Source organism: Homo sapiens, chromosome 1 (assembly GCF_000001405.40).
Source record: "Homo sapiens chromosome 1, GRCh38.p14 Primary Assembly".
Lineage (NCBI taxonomy): Eukaryota > Metazoa > Chordata > Mammalia > Primates > Hominidae > Homo > Homo sapiens.
In genome coordinates this window covers 204,504,211-204,517,934 of record NC_000001.11, presented here as the reverse complement: position 1 = coordinate 204,517,934, position 13,724 = coordinate 204,504,211, and the positions used below count along the sequence as shown (strand labels likewise).

Genomic DNA, 13,724 nt, shown 5'->3' with positions numbered 1-13,724 from the left:
CCCCCTTGGCCTCCCAAAGTGCTGGGATTAAAGGTGTGAGCCACTGGGCCTGGCCGAAATCCCATCTATTAAAAAAAAAATGTATGAGGAGAGAGAAGACTAAATCTAAACTGAGATACAGTAATACTTAACACCAAGAGGTTCCAAGTATCTTTGACAGATACTAGTTCCACGTGCCAACAGCACAGAGCTGCAGCATTTTCTCCGGGTGTTGCTTTTAAACTGTGGTTTTCGGCCGGGCACGGTGGCTCACGCCTGTAATCCCAACACTTTCGGAGGCCGAGGTGGGCGGATCACCTGAGGTCTGGAGTTCGAGAACAGCCTGGCCAACCTGGTGAAACCTCATCTCTAATAAAACACAAAATTAGCCAGGCGTGGTGGCGCACACCTGTAATCCCAGCGACCCGGGAGGCTGAGGCAGAAGAATCACTTGAACCCGTGAGGCAGAAGTTGCAGTGAGCCAAGATCGCGCCACTGCACGCCAGCCTGGGCAAAAAGAGCGAAACTCCACTCAAAAAAAACAAAAACAAAACAAAAACACAACCAAAAAAACCTGTGGTTTTCAAGCTTTAAGGTATACAAAAATCACTGGGAGGTGTGCTCATTAAAATATATTTCTCTGAGCCCCATCTCGATACTGTCTGTAGGTTTCAGTGTGGCCCCAAAACGAACATTTTTTCTTTTTTTTTTTTTGAGACGGAATCTCCCTCTGTAGCCCAAGCTGGAGTGCAGTGGCGCGATCTCGACTCACTGCAACCCCCGCCCACGGATTCAAGTGATTCTCCTGCCTCAGCCTCCCGAGTAGCTAGGATTACAGGCATGCGCCACCACACACATCTAATATTTTTGTATTTTTACTAGAGACGGGGTTTCACCAGGTTGGCCAGGTTGGTCTCGAACTCCTGTCCTCAGGTAGATCCACCCACCTCGGCCTCCTGAAGTGCTGGGATTACAGGCGTGAGCCACCGCGCCAAGCCAAAACAAGCATTTTCAAACAAGCACTCAAGTGCCTCTAAGGTAGACTGTCCGCAGACCTAAAAACTAACTTAAAAACTTAAGACACGTCAATGTCATTCTACCCGGTTCCCTCTCTCCCACCTCCTTTCTCCAAATTGCCTCAACAGTCCTCAAATGTTGTGTCCAGTTAAACTCAATCCAACTACGTCGACTTTAGGTTTGTCACCTGTTGGCCAAAGTTACTTCACGTCACCCCACCTCCACTTTTATCTTCCGCGAGCCCTCATCCCACAACTCTTCCCCTCCCCCCGAGCCCTTCTTCCGCCTGGCGCGGCCTTCCCCACGCCGCCCGACCCACCTCTCAAGCTCCTCCCGCCCGCTACCCGCACAACTGGCGGTACGGCCGCCTGCTCCTCACTCTCCAGCTCCCGCTCCCGGCACCCCGCCGACGAAGGCCAAGAGCCACACCTTACGGCAGCTCCATGAGTCGCTCCCCCGCCGAGCCCGGGTGGGGGGAGGGGTGGCAGTCACAGATCCTAGGGCCTCGGCAGCATTTTGAAATGGCGAGTAATGAAGCCGCAACTTCCGGCCTCCCACACGGCCTCACACGAGGGCTTCCGGTGAGGCCTCCGGAAACCATAGATGGAGCAATGGGAGGACTAGAGAGCTAGAAAGGCTGAGCTCACTACCATAGAGTAGATCCTAGTCCGGGGAGAGAGTCGTGGGGCCCGAACGGTTGAAAGTCGTCAGATTTGAAGAGATAATAAGTGAGGGACTTGCAGGGTCTTGTGATATTTACAGACGTGTATTAGGAGATCAGAAAACAGAGAAGAGGAAGAGCTAAGGTCATAATCACAGGCTGCCTTCAGCTCTTCGGAAAAACTACGCTTCCTCTGCCATTCCCCAGTCCTCACCCTTACTCCCCAAGGGTGGTAGGGAAGGGAAACGGAGCGATGGCGGCACTAGGGTGGCAAGGAAGCTTGAAGCCATGTCAAATAAATAGTTGAAAGCACCAGCCGCTGTGGCTCACGCCTGTAATCCCAGCACTTTGGGAGGCCTAAGGCAGGCGGATCACCTGAGGTCAGGAGTTCGAGACCAGTCTGACCAATATGGTGAAACCCTGTTTCTACTAAAAATACAAAATTAGTCGGGTGTGGTGGCGCATGCCTGTAATCCCAGCTACTCAGGAGAATCGTTTGAACTTGGGAGGCGGAGGTTGCAGTGAGCCGAGATAGCGCCATTCCAGCCTGGGCAACAAGAGCGAAACTCCTCAAAAAAAAAAAAAAAAAAGAAAAAGAAATAGTTGAAGGCTCAAGGGAGTTTTTAACCTGCATATAAACGAGGGAGGCCGGGCGCAGTGGCTCTCCCCTGTAATCCCAGCGCACTTTGGGAGGCCGAGGCGGGCGGATCACCTGAGGTCAGCAGTTCGAGACCATCCTGCCCAACATGGCGAAACCCCCGTTTCTACTAAAAATACAAAAAATTAGCGGGGCATGGTGGCGGTCACCTGTAATCCCAGCTACTTAGGAGGCCGAGGCAGGAGAATCGTTTGAACCCGGGTGGCGGAGGTTGCAGTGAGCCGAGATAGCGCCATTGCACTCCAGCCTGGGCGACAAGAGCGAAACTGCATCTCAAAAAAAAAAAAAAAAAAAAAGAGGGAAAGGGTTGAGCATAGAAATTGGAAGCTGTCTTCAAATAACTGAATAGTATAATATTGGAAATAACGGAGCCTTATTCTCTTCTCCAAAGTGCAGAACTAAAACCAATAGAAATTACAAGGCAGTATTTTTAAGCTCAGAAAATCCTCTAACATTTAGAGTTGTTCTGAAATAAATGAAATTAGGTATTTGGGGGAAGTAATGTCATTTGAAGACAGCCTGCCTGAGAGGTTTGTTGAAAGCTCTTCTATATTAGGAAACATTAAAACTGGCTGTGTAACCCAAGAAAGCTCCATCTCAGTGTTCTTTGCACCTGTCTTTTAGCATTTACCACGTATTTTTTTTTTAGTTATTTGTGTATATACCATTCTTATCTCTCCCAATAAGCAACAACAAAACCTGGCTCCCAATGCTAGATACAGACCCATGCAAAAGAACACAGGGCAGTAACCTTCCTTAAATTTGTACATTCCGCTTTGTTCTACTTCTAGCATAACCTCCTGCATAGCTGGGAGATCCAGGGTTCCATTAAGGAGCTGAAGAATTAACTTCTTTTTCATAGAAATCTGCAACCACCTCACTCACAAAAAAAAAAAAAAAAAGGTCAAGGGTGCTTTTTTAGGTGAACCACTGTCAACTATTTCCCCTGTCCTTTTGTGCAATTAGTATTTTTTAAAACTTTCAACAGGAATTTTTTTTTTGTAACTTTTAAATAGCATCTGGTTAGTTTGGATCCTTTCCTAATGTCTCCTGGAGCCTTGGAATATGATCTGTTCATGCAATTCAGTTTGTGTGAGATCAACAGGTATTTGTTGAGGCCAGGTGCAGTGGCTCACACCTGTAATCCCAACCCTTTGGGAGGCCAAGGTGGGAGGATCGTTTAAGCCCAGGAGTTCAAGACCAGCCTGGGCAAGAAAGCGAGAACACCATCTCTACAAAAAAAAAAAAAAAAAAAAAAAAAAAAAAATTAATTAGCTGAGCATCCTACTTGTGCCAAGCACCAATCTAGAGGATTCCAAAACAAGACCTGAAATCTGTCTAGTGGAGGAATCAGACTGTCCAGGTAAAAAGAATGTGGTAAGTGCAATGATTGATGAGCTGCAGTTAACCTCCTCTAGGTTAAGAGAGATAAGCCTTTTCAATTTGGGCAAAATATTGACCAACATCTTTAATTCGTCTTCATTTAAAATCTCGAGGGCCCGGCGCAGTGGCTTATGCCTGTAATCCCAGCACTTTGGGAGGTCGAGGCAGGTGGATCACGTGAGGTCAGAAGTTCGAGACTAGCCTGGCCAACATGGTAAAACACTGTCTAAAGATACAAAAAAGATTAGCCGGGTGCAGTGGTAGGCGCCTATAATCCCAGCTACTCGGGAGGCTGAGGGAGGAGAATTGCTTGAACCCGGAGGAGGAGATTGCAGTGAGTCGAGATTGCTCCACTGCACTCTAGCCTGGGTGATGGAGCCAGACTCTATCTCAGTCAATCAAAAAAAACAAAACGTTGATAAATATGTTGACGAGGCCATGGTGAAGAATAGAGTTTTTCCCATCGTGGTTGACACTGATTTGTGAGTAATTGCTCATCTTCTAATTTTTTTAAAAAAATAGACACAGGGTCTTACTATGTCGCCCAGTCTGGTCTTGAACTCCTGGCCTCAAGTGATCCTCCCCCACACCTTGGCCTCCCAAAGTGTTAGGATTACAGGTGTAATCTTATAATCCTACAGGTGGCACCCGCCAGCACGCCCAGCTAATTCTATGTGTGTGGTTATTTTGTTTTGTTTTGTTTTGTTTTGTTTTTGAGACGGAGTTCCCTTCTGTTGCCAGGCTGGAGTGCAGTGGCACGATCTCAGCTCGCTGCATTCTCCGCCTCCCAGATTCAAACGATTCTCCTGCCTCACCCTCCCAAATTGCTGGGATTACAGGCGCGTGCCACTACGCTCCAGCGTGGGCGACAGAGGAAGACTCCATCTCAAAAAAAAAAAAAAGAAGAAATGAAAGAAAGAAATGAAATTGGAAATTGGCTTAAAAACTCAACTGAGTGATCACCACTTCCTTCTTTAAGAACTATGCTCACAAACCATTGATTCGAATAAAAAGACAGGAAATCTGGGTTCTAGTCTAGCTATTTGTAGAAAACAGAAGAAGTTACACAGGTTTCCGGTCTTCAGTTCCCTAATCTGTAAAACAAAATGGCTGAATTCAGCCATTTCTTATGGCCCTTCTAGTTTTAAAAAAATTAAAAGTCAGTATTATTGGTCTATAGCCTTTCTGAAAAAAAAATATAATTAATGACTTTATACATATCAAAAGGTATAAAGAATATGATCTCCCAGCTGGGCGCAGTGGCTCAGGCCTGTAATCCCAGCACTTTGGGATGCTGAGGCGGACGGATCACCTGGGGTCGGGAGTTCAAGACCAGCCTGCCCAACATGGCAAAACCCCATCTCTACTAAAAATACAAAACAATTAGCCGGGTGTGGTGGTGCATGCCTGTAATCCCAGCTACTCGGGAGGCTGAGGCAGGAGAATCGCTCCAACCCTGGAGGCGGAGGTTGCAGTGAGCTGAGATGGCGCCATTGCACTCCACCCTGGAAAACATAGTGAGACTCTGTCTCAAAAAAAAAAAAAAAAAGAATATGATGTCCCTTTTCCCATTCCTCTTCCTAAGAACAATACACATACAAAGAAGTTCCCTGTAGTCACCTCTATGGTATCTCCTTTCTTCATCCTCTGGGAACCACTATCTTGAATTTGGTATGTACCCCTGCCATGCATTTCTTTAGACTTTTAGAGTTTATATGTGTATATATTCCTTAAAAATCTGTTTATGCTTTTAAAATTTTTATAAATGGCATCAAACTATATGTGGTCTACTGCAACTTACATTTTTGCTCAGCATTGTGAAGTTCAGTGCTGTTAAACCGTGTAGTTATGGTTAATTTAATTTTGTTGTTGTTCGAGACAGAGTCTTGCTCCGTCACCCAGGCTGGAGTGCAGTGGCGCAATCTTGGCTCACTGCAATCTCCACCTCCAGGGTTCAAGCAGTTCTCCTGCCTCAGCCTCCGGAGTAGATGGGATTACAGGCACGCGCCACCACGCCAAGCTATATTTTGTATTCTTAGTAGAGACAGGGTTTCACCATGTTGGCCAGGCTGGTCTCAAACTCTTGACCTCGTGATCCACCCGCCTCAGCCTCCCAAAGTGCTGGCATGACAGGTGTGAGCCACCGCACCTGGCCCTGGTTAATTCATTTTTAATGTTTTAACGTTGTTCTACAGTAACATACTGAATTGTATAAATGTATAATGAATTGTTGTATAGTAATTGTATTAGTTTTCTAGAGTTGCCATAACAAAGTACCACTGAATGGCTTAAACAGAAATTTATTTTCTCATAGTTCTGGAAGCTGGAAGTTGAAGATCAAGTTGTTAGCAAGTTAGGTTTCTCCTGATGCCCTCTTTCCTTGGCTTGATAAATATGTTGACTAGGCCATGGTGAAGAATAGAGTTTTTCCTATCATGGTTGACACTGATTTGTGAGTAATTGCTCATCTTCTAATTTTTTTAAAAAAATAGACACAGGGTCTTACTATGTTGCCCAATCTGGTCTTGAACTCCTGGCCTCAAGTGATCCTCCCCACTTGGCCTCCCAAAGTGTTAGGATTATAGGTATAATCTTGTAATCCTACAGGTGGCACCCACCAGGATGCCCAGCTAATTTTTTGTTTGTGGTTGTTTTGCTTTGTTTTGTTTTGTTTTGTTTTTGAGGTGGAGTTCCCCTCTGTTGCCAGGCTGGAGTGCAGCCTGTCTTTTCACTGTGTCCTTGTGTGGTTGCCCATTGTCTGTATGTTGTCTATATCCTAATCCCCTCTTCTTATGAGGACACTAATCATATTGGGCCCATCCATGTGACCTCATTTTACCTTAATCACCTCTTTAAAGGCCCTGTCTCCAAATACATTCCCATTCTGAAGTACTGGGGATGGTGTTCAACATGATGTTTGAGAGGGACACATTCAGCCCATAATAGTAACGGATGCACCACAATTTTTATTCATCTCCTCCTTTAATAAATACTTAGGCATTATTCAATCGTTTGCCGTTGCAAACAATGCTGTTATCATTCTCATGCTTATCTCCGTGTGTACTCTAGAGGAAATGATTGAGTCACAGACTATATATGTTGTCCACCCTATTAGACCATGCCAAAGTGCTCTCCAAAGTGATCACAGAAAAATACTCACTCCTGACAGATGTGTATAAGAATTACCTTGGCCAGGTGCAGTGGTTCACGCCTGTAATCCCAGCACTTTGGGAGGCCGAGGCGGGCGGATCACCTGAGGTCAGGAGTTTGAGACCAGCCTGGCCAACACGGTGAAACCCTGTCTCTACTAAAAATACAAAAATTAGCTGGGCATGGTGGTGAGTGCCTGTAGTCCCAGCTACTCGGGAGGCTGAGGCAAGAGAATCGCTTGAACCCGGGAGGCGGAGGTTGCAGTGAGCTGAGATCCCGCCACTGCACTCCAGCCTGGTGACAGAGTGAGACTCTGTCAAAAAAAAGAATTATCTTTGCATATGTTTGCCAGTACTTGGCATTTTCAAATTATAAAAAACAATCTGATAGATGCAAAATGGTTTCTCATGGTGGTTTGTTTTATAGGTCCATGATTATTAGTAAGGTTGAGCACTTTTTCATATTTATCGACTTAAGGTTCCTTTTTTTTTTTTTTTTTGAGACAGAGTCTCGCTCTGTCACCCAGGCTGGAGTGCAGTGGCGGGATCTCGGCTCACTGCAAACTCTGCCTCCTGAATTCACGCCATTCTCCTGCCTCAGCCTCCTGAGCAGCTGGGACTACAGGCACCCGCCACGGTGCCTGGCTAATTTTTTGTATTTTTAGTAGAGATGGGGTTTCACCGTGTTAGCCAGGATGGTCTCAATCTCCTGACCTTGTGATCTGCCTGCCTTGGCTTCCCAAAGTGCTAGAATTACAGGCATGAGCCACCACACCCCGCTGACTTAAGGTTCCTATATATGAATTGCCTAATCAGACCTTTTGCCCATTTTTCTATGGGATTGTCTTTTACTTTTTTTTTTTTTTTGAGACAGAGTCTTGCTCTGTCGCCCAGGCTAGAGTGGAGTGGCACAATCTCGGCTCACTGCAACCTCTGCCTCCTGGGTTCAAGCAATTCTTCTGCCTCAGCCTCCCAAGTAGCTGGTACTACAGGTGCCCGCCACCATGCCTGGCTAATTTTTTGTATTTTTAGTAGAGACAGGGTTTCACTGTGTTAGCCAGGTTGGTCTTGATCTCCTGACCTCAGGTGATCCACCCACCTTGGCCTCCCAAAGTGCTGGGATAATAGGCGTGAGCCACCACGGTAGGCTTGTCTTTTACTTATTGATTTGTAGGAGTTTTCCATATAATCTGGATATTAATCCTTCTTGGTTATATATGTTATAAATAATGACTTCACGTATGTAGCTTTTCACTTTTTAAACATTGTCTTTGATTAACAATTTTTAATGAAATAAAATTTGTTAATTTTCTTATGTTTTGTGCTTTTTAAAAATTTATTATGTAAGAGATTCTTCCCCATCTCTGGGTCATAAAGATACTCTCATATATTTTCTTCTAAAAGTTCCAAAGATTTGTTTTTCTTTTTTCAAGGGTCCAAAGGGCCAGCTAGAAAGATTTGCTTTTCACACTTAGGGCCAGCTAGAAAGATTTGCTTTTCACACTTAGGGCATGTTGTAACATGCAGATCCAACATACAGTGCCCTGACTGGAGCACAGTGACTCCGTCCTGGCTCACTGCAGTCTCCACCTCCTGGGCCCAAGCGATTCTCCCACCTCAGCCTCCTAAGTAGCTGGAACTATAGGCTCACGCCACCACACCCGGCTAGTTTTTAATTTTTGTATTTTTTTGTAGAGAGGGAGTTTCACCACATTGCCCAAGCTGATCTTGAACTCCTGGGCAAGAGCGATCCTCCCACCTCAGCCTCTCCAGTAGCAGGAATCACAGCCAGGTGCCACCACGCCCAGTTTATTGATTGATTATGTGGGGGGAGGGTGGCGGCAGGAGGGGGCAGGTCTCGCTATGTTGTCTAGGCTGCTCTCGAACTCCTGGCCTCAAGCAGTCCTCCCATCTCGGCCTCCCAAAGTGCTAGGATACCGTGCCCAGCCTTAAAAATCAGCTTTATACATCTCGTTCCACTTCAATCAAATATGTTAATTCTTTGTTGAAAGGTGAATGGTGTCACAGAAGGTTGAAAGAGCAGGATCCATAGGATCTGTTCTTGTTACATCTTTGCCATTAAATCTTTATGTGCCTCCATGAATGCTTATTACATGTCAGACACTATTGCAAACAATGTCTATATACTATATTATTTAAATCTCACAGTCATCCTATTGTCCTGACACACAGAGAAATAGCTTGCTCAAGGTTACACAATGGTAGTCAGGATTCAAATAGAGCACCTAACTTCAGAACCCAGGTTTTGTATAAGCATTTATCCTTTGTTTGTTGTCTTTTTTTATCCTTTGTTTTTCAGTGCACATATATGCACCCTTTTCTTGAAAATACAAAACAAACAAAACCCTATTGATTTGAAATGTTTCCTAACTTAAAAATGTTTTCTATTTTTTTCCCAAATCCTATTCTTCCGAAACATGATTATTAATAGCTGCATAATAATTAAGGCCGTACCATAATTTATGTAGCTATTTTTCTCGTTTCTGATTAAAATGCCGTGACGATCTCTCCTGTAGTCAGATCTTTTTGTACACCCCTGATTCTTCTTTTTTTTTTTTTTTTTTTTTTTTGAGACAGAGTCTCTCCCTGTCGCCCAGGCTGGAGTGCAGTGGTGTTATCTCGGCTCACTGCAACCTCCGCCTCCCAGCTTCAAGCGATTCTCCTGACTCAGCCTCCTGAGTAGATGGGATTACAGGAGTGTGCCACCACGCCCGGCTAACTTTTTTGTATTTTTTAGTAGAGACGGGGTTTCACCATGTCGATCAGGTTGGTCTCGAACTCCTGACCTCGTGATCCGCCCTCCTGGGCCTCCCAAAGTGCTGGCATTACAGGCGTGAGCCACCGCGCCCCGTCACCTCTGATTATTTCTTCAGGACAAATTCCTAAAAGTGGAATTGCTGGACCAGAGCAATCACCCCGAAAGAGGTTAAGGATGGAATTAAGGTGAAGTAACATCAGCTAACAAAGACCTTTACTGTCCCACTCTCAAAGCTCTACCGTGGTCATTCTCAACACCAGCTCCATAGCAAAGGGCAGTGCTCAAATTACTGATGGCTACGGAAGGGAAGAACCTCCAATGCCAAGATCAAAACAATCTCTCTTCAATGCCATGTTCAGTTTTCCTGTCTCTCTAGCTTAGTAGGGCTTCTACCCCCAAGGTCGCTGCTGGTGAACTCTTCCAGAGTTTGCGCCCCTTAAAATTACTTGGATGCGCCGGGCCAATCACCGGAGGTCAGGAATTCGAGACCAGATTGGCCAACACGATGAAACCCAGTCTCTACCAAAAATACAAAAATTAGCTGGGCATGGTGGCAGGCGCCTGTAATCCCAGCTACTCGGAAGGCTGAGGCAGGAGAATTGCTTGAACCCGGGAGGTGGAGGTTGCAGTGAGCCGAGAGATCGTGCCATTGCACGCCAGCCTGGGCGACAGAGGGAGGCTCCGTCTCAAAAAAAACAAAAACAAAAACAAAAAAACAACTTGGATGCTTTCAGGCGACCTATTGGATAACCTCACCATCCTTCCTTTCTCTCACTTTATACCGCACAGTGCAACCCGATAGCTTCAGAACAGCATATTCATAGTCTCTTAGACAGATTCATTTTTTTCTATTATTGGATAGGTTTTAGCACTGATGCCCATTCTGTTATCAATGGTAAAATAGATCGAAGGTTATTACAGCACTTCAAAAGTGACACCTCGCCATTCTTTTAATCCTGAACCTATTTAACTACAAATAAAAAAAGCCTACCTAATCATGCTTACTAGGCGCATAAATATCTCGCAATTCTAAATTAGCTGGTGATGCTGGTGAAAGGCGCAGAATTTGGGCCTTCTGTTTTTCCTTTTACGCACGAATCACGAACTTTCTTGGCGTTAAAGCAGTCTCACAGTGTGGATGATGCAATCACTCAAGGGTCCTCATTCTTATGTAAGAAACGGCAGAACAAGCTGTTGTCTACGGGAGCCCGGATAGCTCAGTCGGTAGAGCATCAGACTTTTAATCTGAGGGTCCAGGGTTCAAGTCCCTGTTCGGGCGTCTTGTTCTCTTTTCCTCAATGAACAAATACAAATTGTACACATTATGGTGTATAACACCATGTTCTGAAATACGTATATATTGTTGAATGATTAAATCAAACTGATAAGGTTATGCATTACCTCGCATACCTTTTTTTGTGGTGAGAGCACAAGGTGCTTGCTTTTAAGTTTTTTTCTTCCTTTCTCAATTATGAGCCATCAAAAAACAAATATTTTTCTGGGAAACCACTGTGCCAGACCTCGATACTCTCCAAGAAATTAAATGACTTTTCAGTCATTTTTTTTCCTCCCTGAAAACACGTCTATCTAGCATATTCTGAACCCAGTGAAAAATGATTTGAATTCAACTTGAAATGTAAGGGTTTACGATGTCCGCTCTTGGGACTTGATGGGATAATTTAGCAGGTTAAAGTAACGAAAACTACAAACGCCCGAACAGGGACTTGAACCCTGGACCCTCAGATTAAAAGTCTGATGCTCTACCGACTGAGCTATCCGGGCGCTCCCGAAGAAAAGCTCTTTCTGTTCACTCCATATAGGTTGCTACCTTTTTTTCTTTTTTTTTTTTTTTCAGTTTTGAGATGGTGTCTTACTCTGTCGCCAGGCTGGAGTGCAGTAGCGCGATCTCGGCTCACTGCAACCACCGCCTCCCGGGTTCAAGTGATTCTCCTGCCTCAGCCTCCCGAGTAGCTGAGACTACAGGCGCGCGCTACCACTCCCAGCTAATTTTTGTATTTTTGGAAAAGACGGAGTTTCATCATGTTGGCCAGGACGGTCTCGATTTCTTGACCTCATGATCCGCCCACCTTGGCCTTCCAAAGTACTGGGATTATAGGCGTGAGCCACCGCGCCCGGCCTGCTTCCTTTTAAGTAGCTACATTTAGGTTTTAATTAGAATTAAAGGGTTTTTTTTGTTTTTTGTTTTAGCAAGATAAAGCAAAACAAATATTTTCCTTTCCTTTTCTTTTTGTTCCATTCACACATGTTCCATGAAGAACATGTGTTCTTCAGCTGTTTCATGTTTGATAAGTTACCAGTATTTACTAAACTCTCTAAAAGGAAATTAATGGTAGTAAATGACAGAAAAATGGGCAACCAAGATGAATATTCAAAATTTAGACATGGGGTTACAACCTCTCTTTCCTTCCTTCCTTCTTTCCTTCCTTCCTTTCTTCTTTTTTTTTCTTTCAATCTTTGCAGCTGTGCCAAGGAGCAACCTCTTTTTATTATACTTCTGCCTTCTATTTAGCACTTCCCTGATAAGATCTCTTAATTTTAATTATTCTACCAAACTAGATTACAACATCTCTCCCATTAATGAAAAATACATTTCCATTCATCAGATGATGTAGTTGTTAGATAAGTATTACTTAGCACAAAAGAAGGAAAGACACTTTTGATTCATGCACAGAGGAGCTAATACTATAAGAAAATAGACGTGATTGTGGAAAGGTCTGAATTAAGATTGCGGGAAAAGGAGTTTAGACCTTTAATTTAGATTGAATTTTGCCTTTCCTCCCCTTTCAGGCAAGTTGCCGTTTTCTTTTCTTTTCTTTTTTTTTTTTTTTTTTTTTGAGTCGGAGTCTTACTCAGTCGCCCAGGCTGGAATGGAGTGGCAGGATCTCGGCTCACTGCAACCTTTGCCTCCCAAGTTCAAGCAATTCTCCTGCCTCAGTCTCCCGAGTAGCTGGGATTACAGGCGCCTGCCACCACACCCGGCTAATATTTTTGAATTTTTTTAGTAGAGATGGGGTTTCACCATGTTGGCCAGGCTGGTCTTGAACTCCTGACCTCAGGTGATCCGCCTGCCTCTGCCTCCCAAAGTGCTGGGATTACAGGTGTGAACCACCGCACCGGCCTCAAGTTGCAGTTTTCAAGACAATCTCATAAGATGAATCCTCCCAAAGCAGTGTGCACCAGTGGGAGCAACATAGGGTATTAAGAATACAAATCTCCAGATCAGCCTAGTTTTTCCTAAAATCAGTTTCTTTTCTTTTCTTTTTTTTTTCTTTGAGACGGAGTCTCGCTCTTGTTGTCCAAGCTGGAGTACAATGGAGTGACCTCGGCTCACTGCAATCTCCACTTCTTCGGTTCAAGCGTTTCTCCTGCCTCAGCCTCCCGAGTAGCTGGGATTATAGGCACAAGCCACCACGCCTGGCTAAATTTTTGTATTTTTAGTAGAAATGGGGTTTCACCATGTTGGCCAGGCTGGTTTCGAACTCCGTACCTCAGGTGATCCACCCGCCTCGGCCTCCAAAAGTGCTGAGATTACAGGCATGAGCCACTGCGCCCAGCCACCTAAAATCAAATTTCATCAACCCTGACACATGGGGTGTGGAACACAAGATTATGAAATTTCAAATACTGATAAGGGAATTTATTTTAGTTTCTGGGAACTAGTGGCTTCTGAACACAATGAACAACAAAATAGCTCAGCCTCAGTTGGAGGAATTTTTCTTTCCTACAATTGTCTGATTCTTACAGAACAAAGACCAACAAACTGTGTGATCCTGAGCAGGCCTGGGTTTCCACATTTATAAAACAAGGGAAATTGATTAGATGGCCTCGAGATAACTTGTAATTCTAAAGTTTTACCATTCTGTTACTTTTTTCCATTGTGAATAAGATTAGAAGGAACAGACTCAAAATTTGCCAGAATGGAGTGATTTAATTCAACAAACATTTACTGATCGTCTATTACAGGTTAGGCTATGCGCTAGCCCTAGAGTCTGAGATGAGTAGGACATGGGTCCTGCTAACAGTCTAGGAAAGAAGACACACACAGAAACAAACAATTTCAACATAAAGTGGAGTGGC

General features: G+C 44.5%; 1 protein-coding gene and 2 non-coding genes across 11 annotated transcripts in view, besides 11 other annotated features; 1 reads left to right on the top strand and 2 right to left on the bottom strand.

The window, feature by feature from the left end:
- MDM4 (MDM4 regulator of p53) overlaps positions 1 to 1,529 on the bottom strand; it is a 41,715-nt gene extending 40,186 nt beyond the window's left edge. For 7 of the 9 annotated variants that reach the window (NM_002393.5, NM_001204171.2, NM_001278516.2 and 4 more), the window contains exon 1: positions 1,426 to 1,529. The gene's annotated coding sequence lies outside the window, so the exon portion shown is untranslated. Of the gene's footprint in view, positions 1 to 1,315 lie in introns of all 9 variants that reach the window. The other 2 variants (XM_024447114.2, XM_047420951.1) reach the window with 1 other exon arrangement.
- Positions 1,076 to 2,275: an enhancer, noted in NCBI's record as "MED14-independent group 3 enhancer chr1:204484788-204485987 (GRCh37/hg19 assembly coordinates)". NCBI's record gives its function as "activates an origin of replication core promoter dependent on BRD2, BRD4, P300/CBP and CDK7 cofactors, and independent of MED14, by STARR-seq in HCT116 cells {active_cell/tissue: HCT116}" and the evidence as "EXISTENCE:reporter gene assay evidence [ECO:0000049][PMID:35650434]".
- Positions 1,076 to 3,047: a biological region, named in NCBI's record as "MED14-independent group 3 enhancer GRCh37_chr1:204484788-204485987".
- Positions 1,225 to 2,135: an enhancer, noted in NCBI's record as "NANOG-H3K27ac-H3K4me1 hESC enhancer chr1:204484928-204485838 (GRCh37/hg19 assembly coordinates)". NCBI's record gives its function as "activates a minimal SCP1, AML or CMV promoter by ChIP-STARR-seq in naive and primed H9 embryonic stem cells {active_cell/tissue: H9 hESC(naive and primed)}" and the evidence as "EXISTENCE:reporter gene assay evidence [ECO:0000049][PMID:30033119]".
- Positions 1,257 to 1,536: an enhancer, noted in NCBI's record as "active region_2372". NCBI's record gives its function as "activates an Ori minimal core promoter by ATAC-STARR-seq in GM12878 lymphoblastoid cells {active_cell/tissue: GM12878}" and the evidence as "EXISTENCE:reporter gene assay evidence [ECO:0000049][PMID:35858748]".
- Positions 1,567 to 1,646: an enhancer, noted in NCBI's record as "active region_2371". NCBI's record gives its function as "activates an Ori minimal core promoter by ATAC-STARR-seq in GM12878 lymphoblastoid cells {active_cell/tissue: GM12878}" and the evidence as "EXISTENCE:reporter gene assay evidence [ECO:0000049][PMID:35858748]".
- Positions 1,657 to 1,786: an enhancer, noted in NCBI's record as "active region_2370". NCBI's record gives its function as "activates an Ori minimal core promoter by ATAC-STARR-seq in GM12878 lymphoblastoid cells {active_cell/tissue: GM12878}" and the evidence as "EXISTENCE:reporter gene assay evidence [ECO:0000049][PMID:35858748]".
- Positions 2,136 to 3,047: an enhancer, noted in NCBI's record as "H3K27ac-H3K4me1 hESC enhancer chr1:204484016-204484927 (GRCh37/hg19 assembly coordinates)". NCBI's record gives its function as "activates a minimal SCP1, AML or CMV promoter by ChIP-STARR-seq in primed H9 embryonic stem cells {active_cell/tissue: H9 hESC(primed)}" and the evidence as "EXISTENCE:reporter gene assay evidence [ECO:0000049][PMID:30033119]".
- Positions 8,460 to 8,754: a silencer, noted in NCBI's record as "tiled region #2072; K562 Repressive non-DNase unmatched - State 7:EnhWF". NCBI's record gives its function as "represses a minimal TATA promoter and a strong SV40 promoter by Sharpr-MPRA in K562 cells {active_cell/tissue: K562}" and the evidence as "EXISTENCE:reporter gene assay evidence [ECO:0000049][PMID:27701403]".
- Positions 10,547 to 11,463: an enhancer, noted in NCBI's record as "NANOG-H3K27ac hESC enhancer chr1:204475600-204476516 (GRCh37/hg19 assembly coordinates)". NCBI's record gives its function as "activates a minimal SCP1, AML or CMV promoter by ChIP-STARR-seq in primed H9 embryonic stem cells {active_cell/tissue: H9 hESC(primed)}" and the evidence as "EXISTENCE:reporter gene assay evidence [ECO:0000049][PMID:30033119]".
- TRK-TTT3-2 (tRNA-Lys (anticodon TTT) 3-2) lies at positions 10,833 to 10,905 on the top strand. The gene has a single exon. It is a non-coding gene; the product is annotated as a tRNA-Lys (tRNA).
- Positions 10,906 to 10,955: a silencer, noted in NCBI's record as "silent region_1728". NCBI's record gives its function as "represses an Ori minimal core promoter by ATAC-STARR-seq in GM12878 lymphoblastoid cells {active_cell/tissue: GM12878}" and the evidence as "EXISTENCE:reporter gene assay evidence [ECO:0000049][PMID:35858748]".
- Positions 11,296 to 11,375: a silencer, noted in NCBI's record as "silent region_1727". NCBI's record gives its function as "represses an Ori minimal core promoter by ATAC-STARR-seq in GM12878 lymphoblastoid cells {active_cell/tissue: GM12878}" and the evidence as "EXISTENCE:reporter gene assay evidence [ECO:0000049][PMID:35858748]".
- TRK-TTT3-1 (tRNA-Lys (anticodon TTT) 3-1) lies at positions 11,336 to 11,408 on the bottom strand. The gene has a single exon. It is a non-coding gene; the product is annotated as a tRNA-Lys (tRNA).